Source organism: Homo sapiens, chromosome 12 (genome assembly GCF_000001405.40).
Source record: "Homo sapiens chromosome 12, GRCh38.p14 Primary Assembly".
NCBI lineage: Eukaryota > Metazoa > Chordata > Mammalia > Primates > Hominidae > Homo > Homo sapiens.
In genome coordinates, this window is record NC_000012.12 from 96,897,838 (window position 1) to 96,924,786 (window position 26,949).

The 26,949-nt window shown below is 37.9% G+C and overlaps 1 protein-coding gene and 1 pseudogene across 8 annotated transcripts in view, besides 3 other annotated features; one reads left to right on the forward strand and one right to left on the reverse strand.

Annotated features, from left to right (window-relative positions):
- EEF1A1P33 (eukaryotic translation elongation factor 1 alpha 1 pseudogene 33) lies at positions 3,263 to 4,924 on the reverse strand (annotated as a pseudogene).
- NEDD1 (NEDD1 gamma-tubulin ring complex targeting factor) overlaps positions 9,420 to 26,949 on the forward strand; it is a 46,524-nt gene continuing 28,994 nt past the window's right edge. Inside the window, exons 1-6 of one of the 8 annotated variants that reach the window (NM_152905.4) lie at positions 9,420 to 9,463; positions 9,767 to 10,019; positions 11,915 to 12,058; positions 14,886 to 14,980; positions 19,784 to 19,900; positions 22,148 to 22,288. In NM_152905.4, the coding sequence (NP_690869.1) occupies positions 11,923 to 12,058; positions 14,886 to 14,980; positions 19,784 to 19,900; positions 22,148 to 22,288 (489 nt within the window). In that variant the 5' untranslated portion in view covers positions 9,420 to 9,463; positions 9,767 to 10,019; positions 11,915 to 11,922. Of the gene's footprint in view, positions 9,464 to 9,628; positions 10,020 to 11,914; positions 12,059 to 14,885; positions 14,981 to 19,783; positions 19,901 to 22,147; positions 22,289 to 26,949 lie in introns of those variants that run through there. The other 7 variants (XM_005268644.3, NM_001135176.2, NM_001135175.2 and 4 more) reach the window with 7 other exon arrangements.
- Positions 9,453 to 9,732: a silencer, noted in NCBI's record as "silent region_4747". NCBI's record gives its function as "represses an Ori minimal core promoter by ATAC-STARR-seq in GM12878 lymphoblastoid cells {active_cell/tissue: GM12878}" and the evidence as "EXISTENCE:reporter gene assay evidence [ECO:0000049][PMID:35858748]".
- Positions 9,973 to 10,062: an enhancer, noted in NCBI's record as "active region_6836". NCBI's record gives its function as "activates an Ori minimal core promoter by ATAC-STARR-seq in GM12878 lymphoblastoid cells {active_cell/tissue: GM12878}" and the evidence as "EXISTENCE:reporter gene assay evidence [ECO:0000049][PMID:35858748]".
- Positions 10,103 to 10,242: an enhancer, noted in NCBI's record as "active region_6837". NCBI's record gives its function as "activates an Ori minimal core promoter by ATAC-STARR-seq in GM12878 lymphoblastoid cells {active_cell/tissue: GM12878}" and the evidence as "EXISTENCE:reporter gene assay evidence [ECO:0000049][PMID:35858748]".

Here is a 26,949-nt window from a genome sequence, read left to right on the forward strand (position 1 = left end):
TCCCCAGGGCCCTTGCTATCTGGTCCAACTGTTAAGAGCCAGGAGGAGATGTTCTAAGCAGAGGGAGCAGCAAGGGCCAAGGCTAAGCAGGGTGGTACATGGTGTGTGTGGTGAGTGTGACTGGCCAGGGGGTCAGAGAAGATTTACAGGAGTCAGCACCAGGTAGTGGCAAAGGGCCTGGGGGCGGGGGGGGGGCATGCAAAGGAGTTCAGACTTTATTCTGAGGGCATACATTTTAAGAACAGCGGTCATGAGATTGGATTTGCATTTTATGGAGATCATTATGGTAGGAGTTTGGAGGAGAGCTGGAGGGATGAAAGACTGGAGACTGGAAAGAAGGTTAAGAAGTGGCTGTTTCAACTATCCGGTCATAAGGATAACCTAAATCAAGATAAGAGCAGTAGGGGTGCTGAGCAGCAGACAGATTTGAAAGATACTCAACAATAAAATGGACTTGGGTTAGTGATTGCCTCTTTAGATTTTTGTGAGAAGGAAGGAAGGGGAAAAAGTCAGAATGGACTCACAAATGTCTGGCTTGAGCCCTCGGGAGGCTATGAGAGGTTATGGAAAGGGAAATGGCTTGGCAGAGAGAAGATGGTAGCAGTTGAGTACATGGGTCTGCATTCAGGTGAGAGATTTGGATTGGAGACATTCATTCTTCATCCATTTACTCATTTAGTTAATAGGTGTTGAGTGCCTGCTACATGCTAGGCACTGTTCCAAGCACAGGGATAGTGGCAACCAAACAGGACAAAATTCCTGTTCTTGTGGCACCTTCATTCCAGTGAAGAAACTAAACAAATGATACAAGTAAATCAATGCATAATGTCCTGTAGATATGTGCTTTGAAGACAAATACATTAGGATAGGGCAAGGAAACAAAGTGTGGTGGGGTGTGAGGGATATTTTAGATAAGGGTGTCCATGGAAAAGCATCTTTCAAGAGGTGATATTTGAGCACAAACCTGAATGAAGTGCCAGAGGGAGCCATGGGAACGTTCAAGGGAAAAATATGCAAGGAAGAACCATATGGGACAGCAGGCTCCCTAAGCAATGGGTAGCAGAGGCTGTGGGAAAGAGGCGGAGGGGAAAGGGATGCAGATGTTCGCATAATAGGACCTCTAACAGTACCTGAAAACCTTGATTTCTTGAGTGTATATCATCTTGCTTCCTCTTGAAGCCAACCCTAGAACTAATTCCTTCCTCCACCATCACTCCCCAGCCTCTGATAAATATCATAGCACTGGCAACTTTGTATCACTAGTATTTGTTACCTTGGTACAATCTGAGCTTCTCCAAATTAGGGATGGGGTTCACCTTGGTCACTGCAATACTCAGCACAGTGTGTCAGGAGCCGGTCCACAAATGTGTGTTGACAGAACAATAATGACAAACAACAGGACACAGCGAAGGTAAAACGGATGTCTAGGGGAGTGGTAAGTGGTTGGTGATAAGTAGGAACAAGGGATTGCTTTTTTAAAAAACAACTTTATATTTTAAAGCCCTGTAGTTTTACGTATTTCTCTTTGACATCTTTTGGTATTCATTTCCATCTCTCTGACTAATAACTTAATTTGGGATTTTTTTTCAATTTTAGGCTTTATCTATTGACTTTCCATCATAGAAGATGAAGAATCAGTTCCCTCTGCACCCTCCTCCACCTGAACTACACACATATACACACTGCCCCTATCCCTATTATAGCTGTGTCATAATTTTGGTTAAATTAACACTGCATGTTCCCATTTTAATGACTACGTAAATAGTATTCATACCAGGTTATGTGGTATATTATGGTTGTTATTACCACTTTTCCTTTCTTGCACAACTTTTTGTTTCCCTAGTGGTGGTTTTATTTATTGATTGATTTTGTCGTTTGGTTTTCTAGTTTTCTGTGTCTAGTCATGAATTAAGCTCCAAATCTACTGTTTCCCGGTTCTGTAACCTCTTCTCAATACAATTAGACATGTGAGGGGTGTGTGTGTGTGTGTGTGTGTGTGTGTGTGTGTGTGACTCTTCTTCCTGATGATAGCACTACTGGAATCTTTCGACCTGCTGCTTGCCCTGGTTGCTCTTTGGGCCCCGTGCTCACCTGTCATCCTGGGATTTTTCTTTACCTTTCTGAGACTGGATGTCCTGTCTTCCTGTTTTGGTTTACTCCTTTGTTTCGGTGTATCAGTTCCTCAAGTAGCTTTTTTGCTTCTTTTCATTACAGATGTGGTCTCACCATGTTGCCCAGGCTGGTCTCAAATTCCTGGGCTCCAGCAATTCTCCCAGCTCAGCCTCCTGAGCGGTGGGGAGTACAGGTATGAGCCACCGCTCCTGGCCTCAAGTAGCTCCTTGATAAGGTGCACGGGAGGAAAAGTTGTTGAGACTTTATGTGTCTGAAAATGTTTTTATTCCTTCTTGACACTTGAATGATAAGACAGCTAGATAATTTTAGAGTAGTAATCATTTTTGCTCAGAAATATGGAAGTATTGTTCTATCGTCGTGTAAATTCTAGTGTTACTGTTAAGAATGGAAGTCATTCTTATTCTTTTTTTTCCTCATTAAACTTTGTTTTAATGGGTCTTAAAATTGTGACAGCTTTTTAGTCAAGTTGTTTCCATTAAAAATTACTGATTTTAAAAACTAATGTCTTAAAACTGCCACACACACAAAATAGAAGAAACAAAAAAACACACAAACCCAAACATGGTCCACAAAACAGTCTCCTTTCCTTCTGAAGGTTTTGCAATGCATTGTTATCATTAACCAGTCTTTTACTATTAAACTTAAATGGCCAATTGAAACAAACAGTTTTGACACTGTTCTTCCACCACTGATTAAGACTGGAGTGGCAGGTCTTAGGGATAATATTCTTTTATCTTTCTGAGGTTTCTGGGCAGACTTGGTAACCTTGCCAGCTCCAGCAACCTTCTGGTCCACTGTTTTTTTTTCCACTGTTTTTGTTTGTTTGTTTGTTTTGTTTTGTTTTGTTTTAGATGGTGTCTCGCTCTGTTGCCCAGGCTGGAGTGCAGTGGCACGATCTCCGCTCACTGCAAGCTCCACCTCCAGGGTTCACACCATTCTCCTGCCTCAGCCTCCTGAGTAGCTGGGACTACAGGCACCTGCCACCACACCCGGCTAATTTTTTTGTATTTTTAGTAGAGATGGGGTTTCACCGTGTTAGCCAGGATGGTCTCGATCTCCTGACCTCCTGATCCACCAGCCTCGGCCATCCAAAGTGCTGAGATTACAGGCATGAGCCACCGCGCCCGGCCTGGTCCACTGTTTTGATGACATCCACGGCAACTGTCTGTCTCATATCACAAACAGCAAAACGACCCAGAGGAGGATTGTCCAAGAACTTCTCAACACACATGGGCTTTCCAGGAGCCATATCAACAATGGCAACATCATCAGACTTCAAGAATTTAGGGCTATCTTCCAGCTTATTACCATAACAGCAATCAATCTTTTCCTTCAGCTCAGCAAACTTGCAAGCAATGTGAAATGTGTGACAATTCATTAGAGGGGCATGGTCAGCACCAATATGGCCTGGACAGCTCAGGATAATCACCTGAACAATGAAGCCAGCTGCTTCCACTGGTGGGTCATTTTTGCTGTCACTAGCAACTTTGCCACAACAAACATCTTTGACAGACACATTCTTGACATTGAAGCCCACATTGTCCCCAGGAAGAGCTTCACTCAAAGCTTTGTGGTACATTTCTTTTTTTCTTTTTTTGAGATGGAGTCTCACTCTGTTGCCCAGGCTGGAGTGCAGTGGTGCAATCTCGGCTCACTGCAACCTCTGCTTCCTGGGCTCAAGCGATCCTCCCACTTCAGCCTCCCAAGTAGCTTGGATTACAGGCATGCATCACCATGTCTGGCTAATTTTTGTATTTTTAGTAGAGTCAGGGTTTTACCATGTTGGCCAGGCTGGTCTCAAACTCCTGGCCTTATGTGATCTGCCCTCTTCGGCCTCCCAAGTGCTGGGATTACAGGTGTGAGTCACCACACCTGGCCCATGGTGCATTTCAACAGACTTTTACTTCAGTTATAATATTGACTGGAGCAAGAGTGACCACCATATTTGGTTTGAGAACACCAGTCTCCACTTGGCCTACAAGCATAGTACCACGACCATCAGTTTTGCAGACATCCTGGAGAGGTAGACACAAGGGCTTATTAGTTGGATGAGTTGGTGGTAGGATGCAGTCCAGAGTGTCAAGCAGCATGGTTCCACTGGCATTGCCATCTTTATGGGTGAATTCCATCCCTTGAACCAATGCATGTTAGCATGTGACTTGAGCGTGTTGTCACTATTTGAACCAGAAATTGGAACAAATGTTACTGTGTCCGGGTTGTAGCCAATTTGCTTAATATAAGTGCTATCGTTTTTTGCAATTTCCTCTTCTGGCCATAGGGTGGCTCAGTGGAATTCATTTTGTAAACACCAACAATTGGTTGCTTCATACCCAGTGTATAAGCAAGAGCACCATGATCATCGGTCTGCCCATTCTTGGAGATGCCTTCAAATTCACCAATGTCAGCAGCAACAATCAGGACAGGAAAGTCAGCCTGAGATGTGCCTGGATTCATGTTTATGATAAAATCTCTGTGTCCTGAGACATCAAATTTCCATGGGGAGGTATCAATAGTGATACCACGTTCAGTGTCAGCTTTCAGTTTATCCAAGACCCAGGCATGGGGAGGAGCCCTTTTCCATCTCAGCAGCTTCCTTCTCAGCAGATTTTTCGATGGTTCTTTTGTTGATGCTACCATATTTGTTGATCAGATGATCAGTGGTGGTGGACTTGACCAAATCTATGTGTCCAATGACGACAATGTTGATATGAGTCTTTTCCTTTCCCATTTTAGCCTTTAGGAGTGGTTTTCACGACACCTGTGTTCTGGCAGGAAACGCACTGTAAAAAAGCCATTCTGATATTTGAAACTTTAGTAACTTTTTTTTTTAGAATATTTAAGGCTTTTCAAGCCAGTGTTATTAAATTTGACAATTTTTGTTTTGTTATGTCTTTCTTTTTAAGACTTAACTTTGTTTTTCTCTCACAAGTGAAGAACATCACTTTATTTCTTTTTTTTTTTTTTTTTTTTTTTTTTGAGACGGAGTCTCGCTCTGTCGCCCAGGCTGGAGTGCAGTGGCGGGATCTCGGCTCACTGCAAGCTCTGCCTCCCGGGTTCACGCCATTCTCCTGCCTCAGCCTCCCAAGTAGCTGGGACTACAGGCGCCCGCCACTACGCCCGGCTAATTTTTTGTATTTTTAGTAGAGACGGGGTTTCACCGTTTTAGCCGGGATGGTCTCGATCTCCTGACCTCGTGATCCGCCCGCCTCGGCCTTCCAAAGTGCTGGGATTACAGGCGTGAGCCACCGCGCCCGGCCCACTTTATTTCTTAATAATTAGGAACTCTTTGTTCCTGAGATCTTTTTAAAAATAAAGTTATGGTGCATAATATACAAACAACAAATTGCATTATTTAAACCTGATATCTTAATAATATTGAGTCTTCTATCTCATGAACATGATACAGCTCTTCATTATTTAGGTCTTTAACTTCTCTCAGTAATGTTTTGTAGTTTTCAATGCACAATTATTGAACATATTTTAGTACATTTATGTGTAAATATGTCATACTTTTGGATGTTGTTAGAAATGAAATTGTAATTTTTACTTTTCTGATTGTTTATTGCTAGTTTATAGAATTCTATTTTTGTATATTGACCTTGCATAGGACTTGCTGAATTCACATAGCTCTAGGAGTTTTTTTCTGGATTCCTTATGATTTTACAGTACACAATCATTCTGTCTGCAATAAAGAGTTTTACTTCTTCCCTTCCACTCTGTATACTTGTTTTCTTCTTCTCCTCTCCCTTCTCCTCCTTTCTCCTCTTCCTATTTCCTCTTCTCTTTCTTTTCATCTTCTTGTCTTATTGCACTGCCTAGGGCCTCCAGAAGAATGTTGAATAGGACTACTAGTAAGACTGGGTGTTCTTGTGTTAATCTTAGGAGAAGACATTCAGTCTTTCATCATTAACTAAGGTGCTGTCTGTAGGCTTTTTGTAGACGCCCTTGAACCAGTTGAGGATGTTTCCTTCCTTTGTTTTTTTCAGTTTGTCAAGCATTTTAAATCATGGATAGATATTAAATTTAAAAAAAATGTTTTTGCTTCATCTATTGATATAATTATATGGGCTTTCTCCCTCATTTTGTTAATATGGTGAATTATGTTAATTGATTTTTGAGTGTTAAACCAATCTTGGATTTCTCGAAGAAATCTCACTTGATTATAATCCTTTTTATAAATTACTGGATTTACTTTGCATATATATGTGTATCTATATAATTTTGTCTCCATGCATAAGGGATATGAATTATGGATATTTCTTATAATGTCTTTTTCTGGTTTAGTATCAGAGTAATACTGCCTCTAAAAAATGGGTTTAGCAAATATTCTCTTCTTTTCTGTTTTCCTAAAATGTTGAATTATTTCTTCATGTGTTTGATAGAATTCAACAGTAAAGCCATCTGATCCTGGGGTTCCTTTGTGAGATGGCTTTCTTAATTTTGAATTCAATTTTTATGGTACATATAGGGCTATCATATTATCTATTGCTTCTTGTGTCAGTTTTAATACTTGTCTTTCAAGGTATTCATTTGTTTTAGTTGTGACCAAATTTATTGACATGGAGTTGTTTATCCTATTCCCTTATTTTTGTAAATATCCTTTGGATTTGTATTGATGGCTTCTCTTTCAATCTTGATATTGGTAATTTGTGTTTTCTCTTTCTTATTGGTAAGTCTAGCTAGAGATTTCTCAATTTTATTAATCATTTCAAAAATCAGCTTTTGGTTTCATTGATTTTTCTCTATTGTTCATCTTTGTTCAATTTCATTGTTCTGTACTGTAATCTTTGTGTTTAATTTGTTCTCTAAGTTTCTTAAGAGAGAGCATAGATCATTGATTTTGGACTTTTCTTTTTTTCAGAATATAAACACTGATTTCATAATATAAGCACTGATTTAGCTGTTTCCATGAATTTTTATTGTATTTTACTTATCACTCGGTTCAAATATTTTCTGTTATTATTAATATTTGTGATTTGATTTTTTCCTTCACCTATGGGTTATTAGAAGTAAGGTTGTTTTATTTCACGTTTGGGGCTTTTCTAGATGTGTTATTGTTTTTTATTTATATTTAATACTGTTGTGATCAGAGAGTATTGTCTGTAAGATTTATTCTGTTAAAAATCAATTGACTTGTTTTATAGCCCAATATATGCTCCATTTTCATGTGTATTTGAAAAGAATGTTTATCCTGCAGTAGTTGGCTATAGTGTTCTATAAATGTCAGTTAAAATAGTTGATAAGTGTACAGATCTTCCACATCTTTTCTGATTTGTTTTTCTTATCTGGATGTTCTATGAATTACTGAGAAAATTCTGTCAGTCTCCAACAATGACTATGGGTATGCTTTTTTCCTCCTTTAGCTTTGATACTTATTCTTCATATATTTCAAAATTCTCTTACGTTCACCTATACACTTAAAATTGATAATGGCTTGTGGTTATTTACCATTTTATCATTATGAAATATTTCTCTTTGTCTCTAGAAATATTCTTTGTTGTGATGGCTACTTTTGGAAATCTGTATATGTTTATATAATTCATATATTAGCAAGGCTTCTAACATTTGGCATCTATTGTTCGTTAAACTATTATACAGAACTGAGGAAACAGTGTATACATAGGCACAGAGGCACGGACAAAAATGACAGGACTGTTTCAGGGCCAGTAAGATTTGATGAGGCCGCAGCATCAGTGAGGACAGAGGAATGGAGGTTTCCATTTGGCCCTATACGCTGTGTTATGGCTCTTGACTGTATAGCATAAAGGTCTGGGACAGTCTTTGCAGTCTCATGGTCCCAGGTTTAACTTCTGAATCTACCATTTATTAAACTTGTAACCTTGGACAAGTTACTTAACCTCTATTTCCTCATATGTAAAATGGGGACAAATAATAGCACATACTTCATGTGTTTTTAGAAAGATGAAATTATATATATATTGCATACATACACATTACGTCTATATACACAAATACAGTGCTTAGTAAAGTGTTCAATAAATATCTATTTTTATATGTATAACTAGTATTATATCATATAATATGTATATATTATATTACATGTATTATTATATATATTTTCATATAGTCTAGTCTCAATTTTCCTGCTGGCTTCAATTTTCAGAGATTTAATTAATTGCCCTTTTTGTTTGAAGTTTTCTTTTCTCCATTTGCTCCCATTCTCCCTGCCCCCACTCCCTTACCGTACTTTCTTAGTTCCCAACTTTCTGGGCCTCCTCCCTGCCCAAATTGGATTTCATAGCCTCAAGAACTGCAGACTGTACAATTAAGGTAGTTGCTGCTTGCTATCTTTCTCCTTTTGCCACTCCCCCATGAACCTCAGTAACTTGGCTACGATTTCAATTTCTGCTCTGAAAAAATGCACTTATTAGAATTTTCCAATTATCTGCAATATGAATGCAGATAACTGGGGCTGATGTACCTAGTTCAGAAACACACCCCATGTAGTTGTGATGAAAGAATAACACTTTTTGCAGAAGAAATGCTCTATATTTATGATAAATATTCTTAGCAAAAATTGTCAGTAGAGCTATAAAAGGACCTTTGGAAGGGGCACTTGAAAACTCGGCTCAGCAACTTCCTTTTCCACCTTGAAGTATCCCCTTCAAAAGAATTCCCAAACAGATGATGTTTGATGTTCCGGACCTCGCAGCATGATGCGAAAGAAAGATCATGGGTTTTGAAGTAGGTTAGTGCAGACGCCTACTCTTTGGGTTATTTCTCAGCCTGAGCGCGTTTCCTGGCTTGTAAATCGCATGTAGGAATCCTTTCCTAAATCCACATCCACAATAGTTTCCCTTATTATGGGTCTTCGTGCATCTTATACCTTTCATTATCATAGTTTCACTTTCCATTTAAGCATCTAATAACGTCAGCTTCCTATAGTGCATTGTAAGCTCCACAAGGCCAAGGACCACGAGAATTCACTGTACCCCTGTATCCCCAGGCTAAACCATCACTGTACACTCAAGAGTCTAGCACAGTGCCTGGCACACAGTAAACAGCAAGTGAATGACAAGCAGTTGGCAGTGGCCGGAGCTCCGTCGCTGGGGCGTGGAGAGGGCCGCCCCGGCCCGCAGTTCCCGCCCTGACACTGGGATAACTTCCCCCGCGGCTGCCCAGCGCCGCCCTGACCAGACCCTCTGTACCCCGACTTCTGTCCGGCCAGAAGCCACAGCCGCACGCAGCGCCTCGCCCCGTGACGTCACTCGGGGCGGGACTTCCGGCCGCCGAAGTTTAACAGTCCAGGCGGGAGCCGGAAGCCCAGCGCGGAGCCGGCCGCGGCCCCCTGTTGTGTTGCTGCGGAGAGGTGAGGTTCCGGAGGCCCTGAGGTCAGCGGGCCCCCGCCCGCCGCGTCCGCGCACCCTCCCGATCCTAAGACCCGCTCCGTCCCCCTCAGAGGGCGGGGCGGCGGTCCTTGGGCTTTGCGCGCCCGGAGCGGTTGCTGGGCGGGGGCGCGGCGGCGCGCTGGGCTGGGAAGTGTCCGGGGAGGCGCGGGCCGGGGTCGCGCACCTCCCGGAGCCTTGTGGGGTGTGCTGCCTCCGAAAAGTTTGCCTCGTCTCCACAAGTCTGTCTCCTTTTTTGTCAACCTCAAGTACTTTTCTTTTGGCAGGTACTTGGATGCATTTTACAGGTTAGCCTCACTTGAGCTGTTGTCCTGCAAGTAAAGTGTATTTTTGGTGATTGAAAGTTGGAGAACTTTCATTTCAGCTGAGTGGTGTAGTTGAATTGGTTCCTGTAGCCGCTGTCCCTAAACCCAGGCCGACGTTACCGCCTTGTGTCCTGACTGCTAGCTTTCGACGGGACCGTCTTTGAGGGACTCATGTAAAGTCTCTCCCTTAATGCTCAGTTCTTAGAAGACCGAGGTAGGTGGGCAGATGGTCCTCTTCCCCGCCCCGCTTTAAGAGCCGAAAACAAACATTAAATCACCCGGCGAGTTGTGTTTCCTAAGTTGGAGCAGGTCGTTTGAACCCAGTTTTTCTGAGCCCAGGCCTCAGTGATCTACCCACTACACCCCGCAGCTCACCAGGCCTGGTTACGATGCAGTTAGACACAGCTTGCAGTTGTGGTTTACAGGGCTTAGAGCTCGCTTTTCCAGCAATTCATTAGTTGTTCCTTGACTTGGGAACCAAGGGGGCACGTGTTACACATGTTTAAGGCTCCAAATCCAAACATTGTGTTACATCTCTGCAGGTGACTTTAATGGCTTTTAGTAGCACTGTATCGGATGAATGGAGCATAAGGAAGCACATGAGTGAATTACATTAACTTTTTGTCTCGAGAATGAAACGTTTCTATAATTCTGTCTTTAACTTGTCCTCTGAAATGGCTTATACTAGACGTAGGTGTGCTGTTGTATTGGTGACTCGGGGACCTGCCTGTGACATCACTAATGCTGTGCAGTAGTCTTGCACTTTCCATACTAGGAAGGTGTGGGAGGTATAATTCTGTGCCCTCTCCCTTTCCTTTTCTCCCATGTACTTTTGAGCATCTTTTTTTCTCACTTATCGTTCATTACTACCTGTTGCTCTTTAAAGTGCCTGTCTAGAGCAGCTTCTTTGCCTTCTGTTTTCTAGACTTCCTTGGTTTGTGAAATCACCTTGTTAGAATTACGTGTTTCAGCTGTATGCTCTGAATAAATGATTGAAGGCATCGTAGTCCAAGTATTGGTATAGGGACTTAGTGGCGTCTCATTTGACCATATTGCTAATTTTAGAGTTTTGGAAAAACTGGTGTGACTGGATTCTGACCTGCAGAAATGCTAGTTTATCATACTTTTTTTAAAAATTAGGAAGTTACTTATTAGTAGTTATTTGTTGTGAAACTGCTGTGTGCCAGGAATGTTTCAAGACTCTGGTGTGGGGAGACAGACATTATAAGAACAAATAAAAATTTCAGATAGTGGCTGGGCACGGTGGCTCACGCCTGTGGTCCCAACACTTTGGGAGGCTGAGGCGGGCAGATCACCTGAGGTCAGGAGTTCGAGACCAGCCTGACCAACATGGAGAAACCCCGTCTCTACTAAAAATACAAAATTAGCCGGGTGTGGTGGTGCATGCCGGTAATCCCAGCTACTCGGGAGGCTGAGGCAGGAGAATCACTTGAACCTGGAAGGCGGAGGTTGTGGTGAGCCGAGATCACACCATTGCACTCCAGCCTGGACAACAAGAGTGAAACTCCGTCTCAAAAAAAAAAAAAAAAAATTCAGATATTAGGAAGTGCTATGAAAAAAATGAAATCAGGTATTGGGATATAGGGTAAACTGCTAAGTCCCTTACCAGGTAAGGAAGGGACTGCGTTAGCCAGGGTGGTCAGGAAAGGCCTTTCATAGGAGGAAACATTTGAGCTAAGACCTGAATGATGAGAAGGAGATGACCATGGGAATCTGGGGAGAACATCTTAGGCACAGGGAGCAGCAAATGAAAAGACACTGAGGTGAGAATGACTTTGCCTTTGCATGAGGCAGAGAGAAGGCCAGTGAAAAGAAAGAGGAGAGTTACATGGGGGCCAGGACATGTAAGGCAGGCTAAGGAGGCTGGATTTCATTATCATTACTGTGAGGAGCCATTGGAAGGGTCAGCTAAGAGAATGCGACCTGGCTTATGTTTTAGGAAAATCACTTCAACTGCTTTGGTGACTGCACTGTTTGGAACAAAAATGAATGAGTTAGAGCCACTTGTTTTAGATTAGATTTTGACCTTTTTTTGAGTATGTCTATTCTTAAATGTTTTTAAAATACATTGTTTTAAACTATTTGTAGGCGCAGTCATGCAGGAAAACCTCAGATTTGCTTCATCAGGAGATGATATTAAAATATGGGATGCTTCATCTATGACATTGGTGGATAAATTCAACCCACACACATCACCACATGGAATCAGCTCAATATGTTGGAGCAGCAATAGTATCCTTTAAAAAAAAAAAACACACACACACACACACAAACCGCTTATTAGGTTAAACAACCACTGTCAATGAAACTTTTGCATGTGCCTCATACTGAGTAATGTGTTTTGCATTGCTACCAAGGATAGATAACGTAAAATAGTAATTTACAAAACAATATATCATATGAATGCACTCTGATTTTATCTGTTGCGTTCATTTAAAAAAAATTTAGTTACAACCCACTTCATTTGAAAACACTGCTATTAAAAAAAGTATATTCTGTCTACACCATAGAATTAGTTATCAAAAATTTCTTATTGAACCAAATGGAATAAGGTTGGTAGTTGTGGAAATAATTCCAAAAGGTTTTGGAATGAGTTTTTGCATCTACATTTGGGTATTTGTGGATCTGAACTGAAAATTAAAGACAGAACTTGAAGGCAGAAGCAAGTTGGGGAGGAGATAAAAAATTGCCCAATATCTCCATCTTACTAATGTACTCTCCATATCTTCCTTCCTCTCTGTGTGTGTGATGAAAATTACATTTCCTAAACAGACATAGTAAAGTTACCTAGATTGAACTTTTCTAAGCTTTTTATGTTTCTGATTGACACCTTCCCTGTCTTGGTGAGCTCCTCAATGTGGATAAAATAAAATGAGGGAGTGAAGACTGTAAACTAGGGTTTCTGAACCCTGTGCTATTGACTTTTTGGGGCAGAAAATTTGTTGTGGACCTTTCCTGTATGTTGTACCACGTGGAGGTTTATTGGTCTTCACCCGTTAGGTACCAATAGCCTCTAGTTGTGACAACCCAAAACGTTTCCAGAATTGCCTGAATCACTCCCAGTAGAGAACCACTGCTGTGACCACAGTGCTCCTATCACCTTTTATGTGAAAATGTTTTATGTAATTGGTATGTTAGAAATTTTCTTTTGTGAAACTCATACGCTATTTCTTAACAAATTAAGATTTAACATTTATCTGATTTTTATCAACACCAAAGTATTCTACTTTCTGATAAAAAAATCAAAGCTTTAAAATGTGACTGGTTCAGGAACAAAAATATTAAAAGTTTTATATGACTTACTATTCTTGCATGTATATAACAAGAAGGACAAATTTTCTTACTGAATTAAATTTACCTCCTTATCATTCCTTGATTTTGCAGTAAAACAAATTACTTTGGTACTCTGTTAATCAAACTCATGGTGAAGTGACTACATTTTTGAAGGACTTTCCAGATGTGTAATAGGGAAAATATTTTAAAGAGAGCGACAAGTATATGAAGTTGCTGTTCTCTATTTTTAGATTTTCATTATGTTTAGAGCTTAATTTTCCCTCTTACTATATAAGAGAAAGGTAGCAATTTGTAGTAAGATTATTTTTTGGTTGACTTTTGTTTTAAGTTTTACTAGGAGTTGGCATTTACTGATGTGCTACTTAATAGTCTAACAACAAAACTGATGTAGCTATGAGATAGTGTTGTATGACTTTTGGAAATTGGTCTTACAGTTTTCTTGCATGAGCAGATGTGCACTGAAAGCCTTCATACAGTCTTATTCTTAATAAGGCTTTGATCACTTCCATGGAGGTTAATTACTGAAGAACAAGGAGTTCCCAGCCTTAGCAACTTGGGGTCCACATAGTATAGATTCCAAGAATGGGGTTAATGTGAGACACCAGAGAGATTAGTTTTTTGTTTCTTGTCCTTTAACTTACGTTCCTCACTTTCTCATGATTTCTAAAACTACAAGAGAAATAAAAAAGAACTAGATTACCCACCCACATTATGTTTCAGTCCTTTTTTTTCTATATTCTAAGGAGAAAAGTAGTGGTAAACAGGAAGAAGTCAAGGAAAGGGAAATGGTTTTTCTCGCTATGGTAATATCTAGGTAGGAATGATTTGATTTGCATCATGTATCATAATAAAATTACAGTCTATGCTCTGTTTACAAAATACCTGAAAGTTATACAGAACATTCAAAAGTTAATGCAGTTAGGGATTCTGAGTGTCTAATTAACCTTTCTCCATTGCTTTTACTCACAGATTTTAATTGCTAAAAAGCACAGATTTAAACTTCTGATATTTTAATTTGTTATGGCTCTCAAAATCAGACTCTTATTCTTAGTTATATTATTGTATTTAATCATTTTAGTTTTAAAATAGTTACTGTTTTGTGTTTACTGATTGTTCCATTTACAATTCGTGTAAAAGAAGGTAAATAAAATTACATTTTATTTAAAAATTAAAACTCATAACACAATTCCTATTTAACCATACATATTTATAAAATATTTGCAAGTTACTGTAATAGTCATTCTTAATTTAAGATTGAAACATTCTATCACAAAAATTCATGTTCTGGGAAAATATCAGGCCTTTTTTTTTTTTAAATAGAAAAATAGGAGACTAGTGTGGATGTTTGCTTCCTAGTTTAGATTGTTACCAAGCACTAGGTTAATAAATATCTTGAACAGTTTCTGTAGATGAAAAGGTTGATTGATATTTGCTGATGCTGCTTTTATCATGCTCTCATTCTTGAAGGATAAAATTAGCCCTTCTGGCCTACTCTTTGAAAACAGAGTAGTATTTCACGTGGGTTAAATAGCTTTTGAGTGATAGCAGAGCCAGAAAGAAGGCTAGTTCTTCCCTGCAGTAGTAGCAAAGAGAATTAGTCTTAGTAATTATTAATAGTAATGTGAGCCATTTTTGAAAGCTACTCTGTAAGCTATACTCATTGCTTGTCTTCTTAGTGTGTTAGCTTTTATAATCGCAATTCTTATAATAGTCTAGTGCTATAGATGTTCATGGATTGTTTGATGCTCCATAACTCCTCATTTAGATAACTTTTTAGTAACAGCATCTTCCAGTGGCGACAAAATAGTTGTCTCAAGTTGCAAATGTAAACCTGTTCCACTTTTAGAGCTTGCTGAAGGGGTAAGTGATTTTTTTTTTTTTTAAACTTTTAAAAATCTTAGTTTTGCTTGACTGGCAATTGCTTATTGTGGTGCTTGCGACTAAATATAAAGGTTTTTAAAAGCATTATTTTTAACTTAAGCTCAAAATAATATAGTAACACTTAAAAATGAGATATGTGTACTTACTAAAGTATTTTTAGGTAAAATAGTTTTGAATATAGGGGAACAATTGAAGACTTGAATTTTGTTGACTAGGCACTTCATTTCTCCATTTTCCCTCAGTGGGAGAGGATCTCTGTTGCTGCTATTTTAGGACGATATCCCACATAGGTTACTAGGTTGACCTGAGCATATAAACTCTAATGACACAGCACTGCTTTACTGATCTTGGGCTCAGGACCATCAGGAACAGACTCACAGCTGATGGTAGCTCTCTGCTTCAGATTCTGTCCACCTGTACTGAGGGGCCTGTCTGAGCCTCCCCCATACTCTCCTTAAACAGGTTGGCTTTGTCAAAATGAGCTTAGGTCCCAGGGCGTTTAAATGAAGCTCTCACTACGTACTGTTGCCTTATCCTTTTTTTTTTTTCTTTTGAGATGGAGTCTCGCTCTGTTGCCCAGGCTGGAGTGCAATGGTGCAATCTTAGCTCACTGCAACCTCCGCCTCCCCAGTTCAAGCGATTCTCCTGCCTCAGCCTCTCAAGTGGCAGGGATTACAGGTGCCCACCACCACGCCTGGCTAATTTTTGTATTTTTAGTAGAGACGGGGTTTCACCATGTTGGCCAGGCTGGTCTTGAACTCCTGACCTCATGATCCGCCCGCCTCAGCCTCCCAAAGTGCTGGGATTACAGGCATGAGCCACCACACCCAGCCTATCCTTTTGTTTTATAAGTTAATCCCTCTGATTAAGGATAATACTGGCTTCTTCATTTCTAGTCACACACTCTTTGAAAGCTATTTCTTTTTTAAATAAGATAAGATTTAAATAAAAAGATATGGTAGTTGATAGCTTTTTTTTTTAATTTCAAAGTTTTTCTAGCAGATCTTAAATTATTATGAATTGTCATAATTTTACACACTGGGATAGGTAAAGTAGCCCAATTAGAAAGAAAACAGCAGGACAACTGAATAAAAGCTCAACTAATTTAAAGAGGACTCATGATTTTTATCAATCCTCTCCTAAAGGTATCCAGTGGGATTGACCTGAACTTCAGTTCTAACCCACAGATGTTGGAGACTGGGACAGAGGGAACATGTGCTAACAGTAGAAATGGAGTTTGAGGCACTCTGTTTAACCTGACTTAAGCAGAATCAAGGCATAGAATGTCTCTGGTCGATAAAGGCAGACTGAAGTCTTCAAGAGCAGGCAAAACATCTTAACCATCTTTGGATCTTTGTATCCTAAGATGTTCAAAAAACTTGTTAATGTCAACATCAAAACAATTTCAACTTCTACTCTACCACTATATATATGTACTACTGTTATGCATTATGCCTTAGGATCAGTGAATCAGTATTTGGGAGCTTTTTTTTTAAAGTATAAAAATAACAGATGGTATTTACAAGTGTGACATAATTCTAAGAGTTTTGTGAATATTCCAAATTAGTTGCTATGATTCTTAGCCCTCTTTCCCATAGTTAACAAATTGTATCATAATGCTGTTGGATAAAAGTAAGATTAGTTGAGTTCAAATTTTCAATCTATTTTAATTTAGTTATGAAAATATTTGGAAACATTGGTTTTTTAGCTTTTACTAGTAATGTTTACAGAAACATATTAATGTGCTAATAACCTTTTTGTAACTTCCAAGTCCTCTTACTCGTGTATTATTTGAGGCATTAGACCTTTTCTACTTGAGAAAATAAATTATGATCTTACTGATTTTAAAATTTTAGAGTAGAACTTTAAGTTCATATTTATTTTCTTTGATTTTGTATTTCACCTCTTTAAAGTAGAATGTACCTTTGCCTTGCACCTTGAGCAGTTCAGGATTCCTGTAATAACCACACAATTTCCATTAATTATTTAAGTTCATTAGTTGCATTAATAATACATTATCATAAAAAAGACCTATCAACAGGGTTAGCCAGCTCTAAATATAATTTTTATTTTGAGCCCTTAAGAGTAATTGTAGTTGTTGTGATGATTGGAGTCCCAATATATTGATCTTCAATGGACACCATCTTTTTCTATTTTATTTAAAGGCTGTTTTGATAGTTCTTAGCAAACTGTCCTGATTTGCAGTGACAACCAGATTCTAAAGCTTCTTAGTCTCCCTCAACTAAAGTCAATTCCTAGAATGGTATCTGCAGGAGAATTACAGCAACTATACTGAAACATTGATGTTGTGTGCATCTTGCTATTTTTATATGTTAGTTGATACTCTTGGTCAAAATTTTAGAGCTAGAAGGAACCCTGGGGTCCACAGAAGTGAACACAAATCTATTTGATTTCCTTGAAGCATTTTTGACCCCCTTAAAAGCCGTTGGATCCATGTGGAAGAAAGACAGTAAGAGAGTGGCTCTTTAGTACAAGATTAGCATGTTTATAGTATTTGAACGTGCAATGGGGGAAGGGCTAGAGGAAGGGGATCATATGCACCCTTTAAAGAATCTCTTTTGAGCAGAGGATATTTCTGAGAAGCATGGATTCTCAAAGTAAGAACAGTAGATCTAGTCTTCACCTTTCGTTTCTCAAATGCAGAAGCATAGGCTCAGAAAGGTGAGATGATTTGCCTAAACCTACATAGCTTGCCTTTTAACTTTTCTTGAAGTCATGAAATGTCTCCTTTGAATTTGAAGAATCCAAGGATGCACTGTGGAAGTTCCAACTAATGTGACTTCGTAGTGCATCTAAAGGTTACTTAGGAAAAAAATGCAACACTGTTCTGTATAGCATAGTTACTGATGGCACCACCAAATTGGTGACACTCAAAGATACTCACTGAGAAGAACTTGACAACATCTGTATTTTAGCCATTCTATAAAGATGGAGCATGGATATGGGCCTTGTGCTAGTGAAACTGACATTCTGGCGGGGGACAGGCAGTAAACTAGTAAACAAAAAATACCCAGATATTGGTAAGTTATCATGCAGATAACTAAAATAAGATATTGTGATAGCAAGTTACATTAGGTAGCCAATGGAGGTCCCTTGAAGTGTGGTGGCACTTAAGTTGATATCTGTTGACCAGAAAGTCTTCCAAACAGGGTTCAGTGAATTTAGCTTTCTAGGCAAGGAGAATAGCTGTGTAGAAGCCTTGAGGCAAATATAGGGTTGTATATTTAAGGAATGGAAGGTCAGTATGGCTGGAGAATTAGTGGATGAGGAAGAAAATGGTAACAGATGAGGTAGGGCCCAAATAATAGGACTTTGAAAGCCAGGTAAATGTTTGGAGTTTATTCTTGGTGTGATTGGAAGCCGTTGAAGATTTATTATTATTATTATTATTATTATTATTATTTTTAAATTATACTTTAAGTTTTAGGGTACATGTGCACATTGTGCAGGTTAGTTACATACGTATACATGTGCCATGCTGGTGCGCTGCACCCACTAACTCGTCATCTAGCATTAGGTATATCTCCCAATGCTATCCCTCCCCCCTCCCCCCTCCCCACCACAGTCCCCAGAGTGTGATATTCCCCTTCCTGTGTCCATGTGATCTCATTGTTCAATTCCCACCTATGAGTGAGAATATGCGGTGTTTGGTTTTTTGTTCTTGCGATAGTTTACTGAGAATGATGGTTTCCAATTTCATCCATGTCCCTACAAAGGACATGAACTCATCATTTTTTATGGCTGCATAGTATTCCATGGTGTATATGTGCCACATTTTCTTAATCCAGTCTATCATTGTTGGACATTTGGGTTGGTTCCAAGTCTTTGCTATTGTGAGTAATGCCGCAATAAACATACGTGTGCATGTGTCTTTATAGCAGCATGATTTATAGTCATTTGGGTATGGAAGGAGACATGATCTGATTTACATTTTTAAAGTCCACCCTACTTATGAAGGATGGAATATAGGAGAGCAGGAGTGGAAACAGGGAAACCAGTTAGGAAGCTGCTGTCGTAGTTTGGTAAGGTTTGGGTTAGTGTTAGTAGTAGCTATAGATAAAGGGGAGCCCATGTGGGATTCATTCTTGGGTTGGAGTTTAGAGAGCTTACTGATAGATTGGAGGGGAGGGAGAACAAGAAATCAAGGGTTATTCTGGGTTTTTATCTTGAGAAACTGGATGGTGTCTTTACAGAGATGGGGAACAGTTGAAGTCAGGCTTTGATGACCTGATGTCTGAGACTTGGTCTCCTTAACGGAGATTTGCTGGAAGACTTAGGGCAAGTATCTTGACTTCTTTAAAAAAAAACTTATCCCATCGGTAAAATGAGGGCTGTACACTGGAAATTCTTTTAAAGTCTCTTCTATTTTTAGCATTTTTGAGCTGGGGATTGATTTTAATGTAGGATATTCTGTGGAAATACAAGAGCAGGCTTTATCAAGAGGAGATAGGATGGGCAAACAAGCCCTGATGGGAGACCAGGACTGCCAGTGTTTTCTAAGCTTCCTGTGTCGTCACCGGTCCACAGAAGTGAATGCAAATCTATTTGATTTCCTTGAAGCATTTTTGACCCCCTTAAAAGCTGTTGGATCCATGTGGAAGAAAGACGATGAGAGAGTGGCTCTTTAGTACAAGATTAGCATGTTTATAGTATTTAATTTAACCAATATTTATCATATGCTTACTAAGTGTTGGATGAGACCTGAAAGTCAGCTCTGGGCTCTGTTAAATTAAGGTAACTTTTTTTTTTTTTTTTAAATAGCAAAAGCAGACATGTGTCAATTTAAATTCTACATCTATGTATTTGGTAAGCGGAGGCCTAAATAACACTGTTAATATTTGGGATTTAAAATCAAAAAGAGTTCATCGATCTCTTAAGGTAAGCAATTTAAAAAAAATCTTCATGAAAAAATGGATATCTTAATGCATTTAGAGTACTTACCAAGCTTTTATTTTTGAGCTTTTATGATAAAAATAAGAGGCTTCAGAATTGAACTAAGATTTGTTAGGGAAAATAAAGGTGCTATTTAGCCAAAAACTTATTTTTATGTCTTTTTTCTTACATGTGTAGCATTAATGCATATGATCAACATTTACAACTTTTTTCTTGTTTTTTATTTAGTTCTACTCTTATTTGAATGAACCACTTCACTCATTTTTTCCTAAACTATGGTGTGTGGTCATCAGGGATCTTTCCTTAGGGCCAGGTGGAAAAAATGAGAGTTGTTTTGTGATGATAGTATTCAATACAGTAATCAGAGTTGGGTCAGCTTTTTAGTTATGTAGTATATTTGGCTGCTCTTGTTTGTGTTTTTTTTTTGTGTGTGTGTGTTTGTATTTTTAACTTGGTAATATTTTGTAAACTAATTTACTATTTACAATTAATGTTTCTTTAATAATTAGCTTTTTGTAGTTTCAGAAAATAAAAATATTCAGCACAAGAAAGTCTATGGTCTTTTTTTTGGAATTCTACTTTTCATTATATTGTCTTTTTAATATTTAGAAGTTGATCTTAAAATTAATTTTTGTCTTAAAAAAGTTTTAATATGAAAAATATAAACATATTTATATCTACACACATACACAGAGGAAGAACTTTCTTTAATCCATCTCCCATGTAAGCTTCACTTACCCCATCCCTGCATGGCAAAATTTGATGATTTTTTCCATTTTCAGCTTTCTCAATTACTCTGGATGGTTTTCTGTCTTTTCGGTGTGAAATTCGTAATGTTTAGCTCCCTCATTCATTCTGTTAATGAATATTTTGACTACTTGTGATAGTGGGAAATCTAATCTTTTACCTTTGGATCTCTACAGTCGTCTCCCTGGTGATTAACACAATTTCTGGCACTTAGTAGGTTCTTAGTAAATGTTTGCTGAATGACTTATTCTCCACAGTTGAAATTAGGAAGACACTTGCCTCTTTATAAAGTCATAGAAATTACATTGGACCCCATGTTCTTAATTTCCCAAATGGGAACGATACCCAGAACGTCTGCTCTTCCTTTTTTCTTTTCATCAAACATTTTTTCCTCAAGATAGCAAGTGTTCCTTGGTTTTGGGAAAGGAATAATAGGTAAAGAAATCTCTGAAAATACTTGAAGGACCACTTGAAAAAGTTGTAATATAAGTGGAATATCATAGCTATTATTCTTGCTGTTACATAAATAATTATTAGATACAGGGCTTAGTTTGTTTGTATTATTGAGATATGGCATCTTCCTGTTAAAAACTCTTCTCCCAATTTTGGTCACTTTTCTCTCCTGCTGGACATCTCTAATTTGATGTTGGAAAACATAGTCCTTGTGAACTCAGTTTGTTTAAAACCTGAAAGTTTTACTTCCTCAAAGTGTATTCCTAATTGGATTTGAGAGGCAGCCTGGTATAGTGGAAGGAAGAGAGGCTTTGGAGTTTGACATGGAATTGAGTCCTGGCCCTGTCACTTAGCAGTTACGTGAGCTTGCGCAGGTTTCTTAACCTCTCAGTGTCTCATGTACTTCATTTATAAAATGGGCAAAATGACCTTGCCCCTCAGGCTTTTCTAAGCATTAAATAATATATAAAGCTCCCAGCACTAGTAGGTTCTCAGCAAATGGAAGCAGTTTCTGTTATCTCACAGATGCCTTGCTCATTTGTTTTTCCCACTCCTCCATTTTGCAATGTCTGGTTTCTTTCCCCTTCCCATGATTTTTCTCTTTTCTCTAAGGTTGAACTCCAGCTTTATGTCTTCCATAAAGTTTCCTCTGCCAACTTCATTCACAGTAGCTCTTTCTCTTTCCTCTGACACTTTGCTTCCATCATTCATTTAGCATATTCTCTGCCATTTTCATGTTAAAGCAGAAACTCAAAATAGTCAACTTGCAATACCTGTTATTTGTCAGAGGAAGTGAATTCTTTAAGGAAGACATAATGCCATGTAGAAAATTACCTGTCCATAATCTCTCTCTCTCGTAAAGTGCCTGGACCATTTTTATCATTATTGAAAATAATTCTCTGTATATTTGAGGAAAATGTTAAAGCAAATATTAGATTGATAAATACATAATGTATGGTATTTACAGAAACATGAAAATGGGCTGTTCGAGGATTATGGGGCAGTGTACTTACTTTCATTTCTCTCTTTCAGGATCATAAAGATCAAGTAACTTGTGTAACATACAATTGGAATGATTGCTACATTGCTTCTGGATCTCTTAGTGGTGAAATTATTTTACACAGTGTAACCACTAATTTATCTAGTACTCCTTTTGGCCATGGTAGTAACCAGGTACAGTATGAGTTTATTCAGAGTAAAATTGGTAAGATAGATTTTGAATTGTATCTTACATAAGACTGTGAATTTAAGTTTTTGAAATGCTTGATTGAAAAACTTCAGCTATTTTTAAATGGTAGTGTTTTAAAATATTCAGATAGCAAGCTAATTCATACTAGATTATGGTGCTTATATAAATTTGATTATGTAATCAAATAGTCACATCCTTCTAGACTATAACTATATACAGCATAATAAAATACAAATAGTTGTTAATAGGTTAAATGTAAAAAATGGATATTAATCTTTCTACAGCATTACTGTTATAGAAATGTGTCACATAGCTCAGATTTTGTCAGCTGCAAGACAGATACACTCATAAATACTGTTTTGTGGACATGGAATGATTGAGTGTGTTTAGGCAGAGAGTAATTTAAGTTTTGCATTTTTGTTTTTGTAGATATATGATAAAGTATCGAAGCTTATATATTTCAGGTTAATATAAGAGTGTTTTGGGAAACTTTTTAAAAGGAAAATAAGTCAATTTTTTTCCTCTATAAAAAATGTTCAAAAGAATAAATTCAGTTTTTCAAGGAACCTAACTCTTGGTTGACTTTCCATAAGATTCGCCATAGAAATTTCCCATGAGGTGCAAGTTCTTTCAATTTTTACTTAATTGTAATCTCTTTGGCCATAACTATTATAAAATATGGGAGATCTTCACTTTTGGGAAGTAGTTTTTTTAAATTATTACTTGAATAGTATTTAGTGCTTAAAAAATTTAGTGGATATGAAAAGCATACAGGAAAAAGTCTTTTTTAAGTTTCATATATATTGGGGAATAATACAGATATATAAATGGTATTATGAGTAAGTGATATAAAACAGTCTTATGGTGATTCAGAACAGCTGAGAGAAGACTATCTGGGAATAAAATAGGGAAAATTGAAAGGGTTGGGGAGTTTCAGCTACGTCTAAGGCTTATTGATTTTGTTTTTACTATGACAATATAAACTGGCCTCTTTGCCAATTATTTGTTTCTAACTTGTATTGGGATTACTCTTTTTTTGCTTGTTTGTTTGGTTTTTTGAGGCGGAGTCTCGCTCAGCTGCCCAGGCTAGAGTATAGTGGCGCAATCTCAGCTCACTGCAACCACTGTCTCCCGGGTTCAAGCGATTCTCTTGTCTCAGTCTCCCAAGTAACTGGGATTACAGGCACCCACCATCATGCCCAGCTAATTTTTGTATTTTAGTAGAGATGGGGTTTCACCATGTTGGCCAGGCTGGTCTTGGACTCCTGACCTCAGGTGATCCACCTCCCTCGGCCTCCCAAAGTGTTAGGATTACAGGTATGAGCCACTGCACCCAGCCAGGGTTAGTCTTTTTCACGTGTCCACATTATTGGTGGAACCATGGCCTGTTTCTTTGTCCTCAGTCTATTTTCTAGTTTCTTGCCTTACATGGAGAAGATGTATAATAAATATTTGAATGTATGAATATTTTTAGAGATGACAAAGATTTTGTTAGGCAAATATAAAGCTTTAGAAGAGGGATTTTTTTTTTTCTTTCTTAGAGAGTCTTACTCTATTGCCTATGCTGGAGTGCAGGGGAATGATCATGGCTCACTGCAGCCCCAACTCCTGGGCTCAAGTGGGAGCCTGGCTAATTTTTTTTTTTTTTTTTAATATTAGAGACAGGGTCTCAGTATGTTGTCCAGGCAGGTCTTTAACTCCTGGCCTCAAGTGATCCTCCTGCCTCAGTCTCCCAAAGTGCTGGGATTACAGGCATGAGCCACCACACCCAGCTGGGAGAGGGATGTTTTACATGGAGGAAATCACATTAACAAAAATAAGGAGAAAGAAAATTGCATGGGCTTTATATAGGACCAATGTGAGAAAAGATTGGAAAAGGGTAAATATGAATATAGTATTGATGTAAGACTGAATGTCACACAAAAGACTTGTTTTGGGAGGTATTTAGGGAAATTAATCAGAGTTTTTAATTAGTTGAATGTCAGAATCATAGAATCCTTGAACATTAAAAATAGCCTTTAGAGGTAATCTCGCTTTCTGCATTTTATGGATGAAGATAAATGATTTGCCAAAGGGATGCTCTTTAGAATGTGCTAATATTGTCATAAAAGCAGGAACTTATTATATTTTGTTTTGGTGATTTCTTTTTTATTTATATTTTGATAAAGAGAGACATAAAGTCTAAGCCTATAAACTTTGGAACTATTGTGAAAAAAATCATTAATGTTCAAATATCTTTTTTAAGGACATAGAGTAACTTTCTTTTTTTGTGTGTGTTAGAAGCATGACAAATTTATAAATTTTGGACTGACTTTTCAATACCATAAAAATTAGACCAGATACTACTATGTATATTCTTATACTTCAATTTTTATGCTTATTGTATCTTGCTAGAGAGTTTTCTTATTAAAATCAGACATGAAGGAATATTCCTGAAAACATTAGGTTTGACTATACCTTTTGGCCTAATTTTGTGTAAAAGATTTAAATTTTTTAAAACAATTGAGGTGTAACTTACAATAAAGTGCAGTGCATATATCTTAAGTGTACAGCTTGTTGAATTTTTATGTATACGTAAATACATTGGTGTAACTACTAACAAAATCAAGATATAGAACATTGCCAGCACACCAGAGGACTTGATTTTGTCTTTTCCAGTCACTACCTCATATTTTATGAAAGGAATCATATGTGGGCCAGACGCGGTGGCTACCTGTAATCTCAGCACTTTGGGAGGCTGAGGCAGGCAGATCCCTTGAGCCCAGGAGTTCAAGACCACCTTGGGCAATGTGGCAAAACCTCATCTCTATTAAAAATATAAAGAAATTCACCAGGCATGGTGGTGCATGCCAGTAGTCCCAGCTGCTTGGGAGGCTGAGGCAGGATGATCACTTGAGCCTGGGAGGTTGAGGCTGCAGTGAGTTCTGATTGTGCCACTGCACTCCAGCCTCAGTGACAGAGTGAGACCCTGTCTCAAAAGAAAAAAAAAAGCAAGGAATCATATGTGTCTGGTTTCTTTTAGTCATCATTACATTTGCTTTGTTGCATGGAATAGTAGTTCATACTGTATTAATTCTGTGTAGTGTTTCCTTATATGAATGGGCCACCATTTATCCATTCTTTTGTTGATGAGCAGTGAATTGTCTTGTTTTAGCTGTTACAAGGTAGCTACTGTGAATATTTTTGTACAAGTCTTTTTTTAAGATACATGTTTTTATTTATTTTGAGTAAATACTTAGGAGTGGAATTGCAGGATTGTAGCATAGGCATACAGTTTTACTTTATGAAAAATTGCCAAAACATTTTCTAAAGTGAAATCCAGCTGGCTGTGAGATCCAGTTGCTCCACATTTTTGCTAATACTTGGCATTATCTGTCTTATTTTTGCCACTTTGATGGTTATGTAGTGCTGTCTCATGGTGGTTTTAATTTGCATTTGTCCATGTTGAATGATGTTAAGTATATTTTTATATGCCTCTTGTGAAGTGACTGTTCAAGTCTGTTGCCCATTTTTATGTTGGGTTATTCGTGTTTTTAAAATTTATTTATAATTTCTTATGTATTGCAGGTAGATTCATTTTGGGGATATGCATGTTGCAAATATCTTCCTTCAGCCATGGCTTGCTGTTTTACTCCTTAATACCTGTTTGTGTGTGTGTGTGTGTGTGTGTGTGTGTGTGTGTGTGTGTGAAACTGTATGCCTGTTTGCGTGTGTGTGTGTGTTTTAGTGAACAGAAGTTCTTAAATTTAATGAAGTCTCATATGTCAGTCTTTTCTTTTATGTTTGTTGCTTTTTGTGTTCTCTTGAAGAATCTTGCCTGCCCCAAGATTTTGAAGATACTATTCTGTGTTTTCTTTTAGAAGCTTTGTTGTTTTATCTTTCTTATTTATGTTTGTTATGATCCATTTCAAGTTAATTTTTGTGTATTGTGTGAAAGAGGGTCCTATAGATATCTAATTGTACCAATGTTATTTATTACAAAGACCAACCTATCCCCACTGAATTACATTAATGCCTTCTTGCAAAACTGGTAACTGTATATGTTAGTTGTAGTCGTTCTATTTTGTTCCGTTGGTCTAGTTTGACTGTTACTAGTTTTGCTTATTGTAGCTTTATGGTAGATCGTGATATTTTTAAGTTCACTTTGACTACTATGGGCCTTTTGCATTTCTAGCTGAATTTTAGAATCAGCTTGCCCATTTCTAACAAAAAATCTGCTTCATTTTGATTAAGATTATATTGGATCTATGGACCAATTTAGGAACAACTACTATCTTAACAATATTGATTCTTTCATGAACATGGTATAACTATCTATTTATCTAAGCCTTTAATTTTTCTTAGCAGTGCTTTGTTTTTACTGTAGAGGGCTTGCATATCTTTTAGTAGATTTATTACCATGCATTTGATTTTTTGATGATACATTTCTAATTGCATTTTTTGTTAAATTTTATTTTCCTATTCTTTGTGGCTTGTAGAGAGAAACACAGTTCATATTTGTCTTTTGTCATTTTATCCAAAAATTCTGCTAAATTCACTTAATAGTTTGGACAGTCTTGATTCTTTTGAAAGAATTTGTAGTATTTACAGTTTATAGACTATCATGGCTGTCATCTGTGAATGATAAGTTTTTATTTCTTATTTC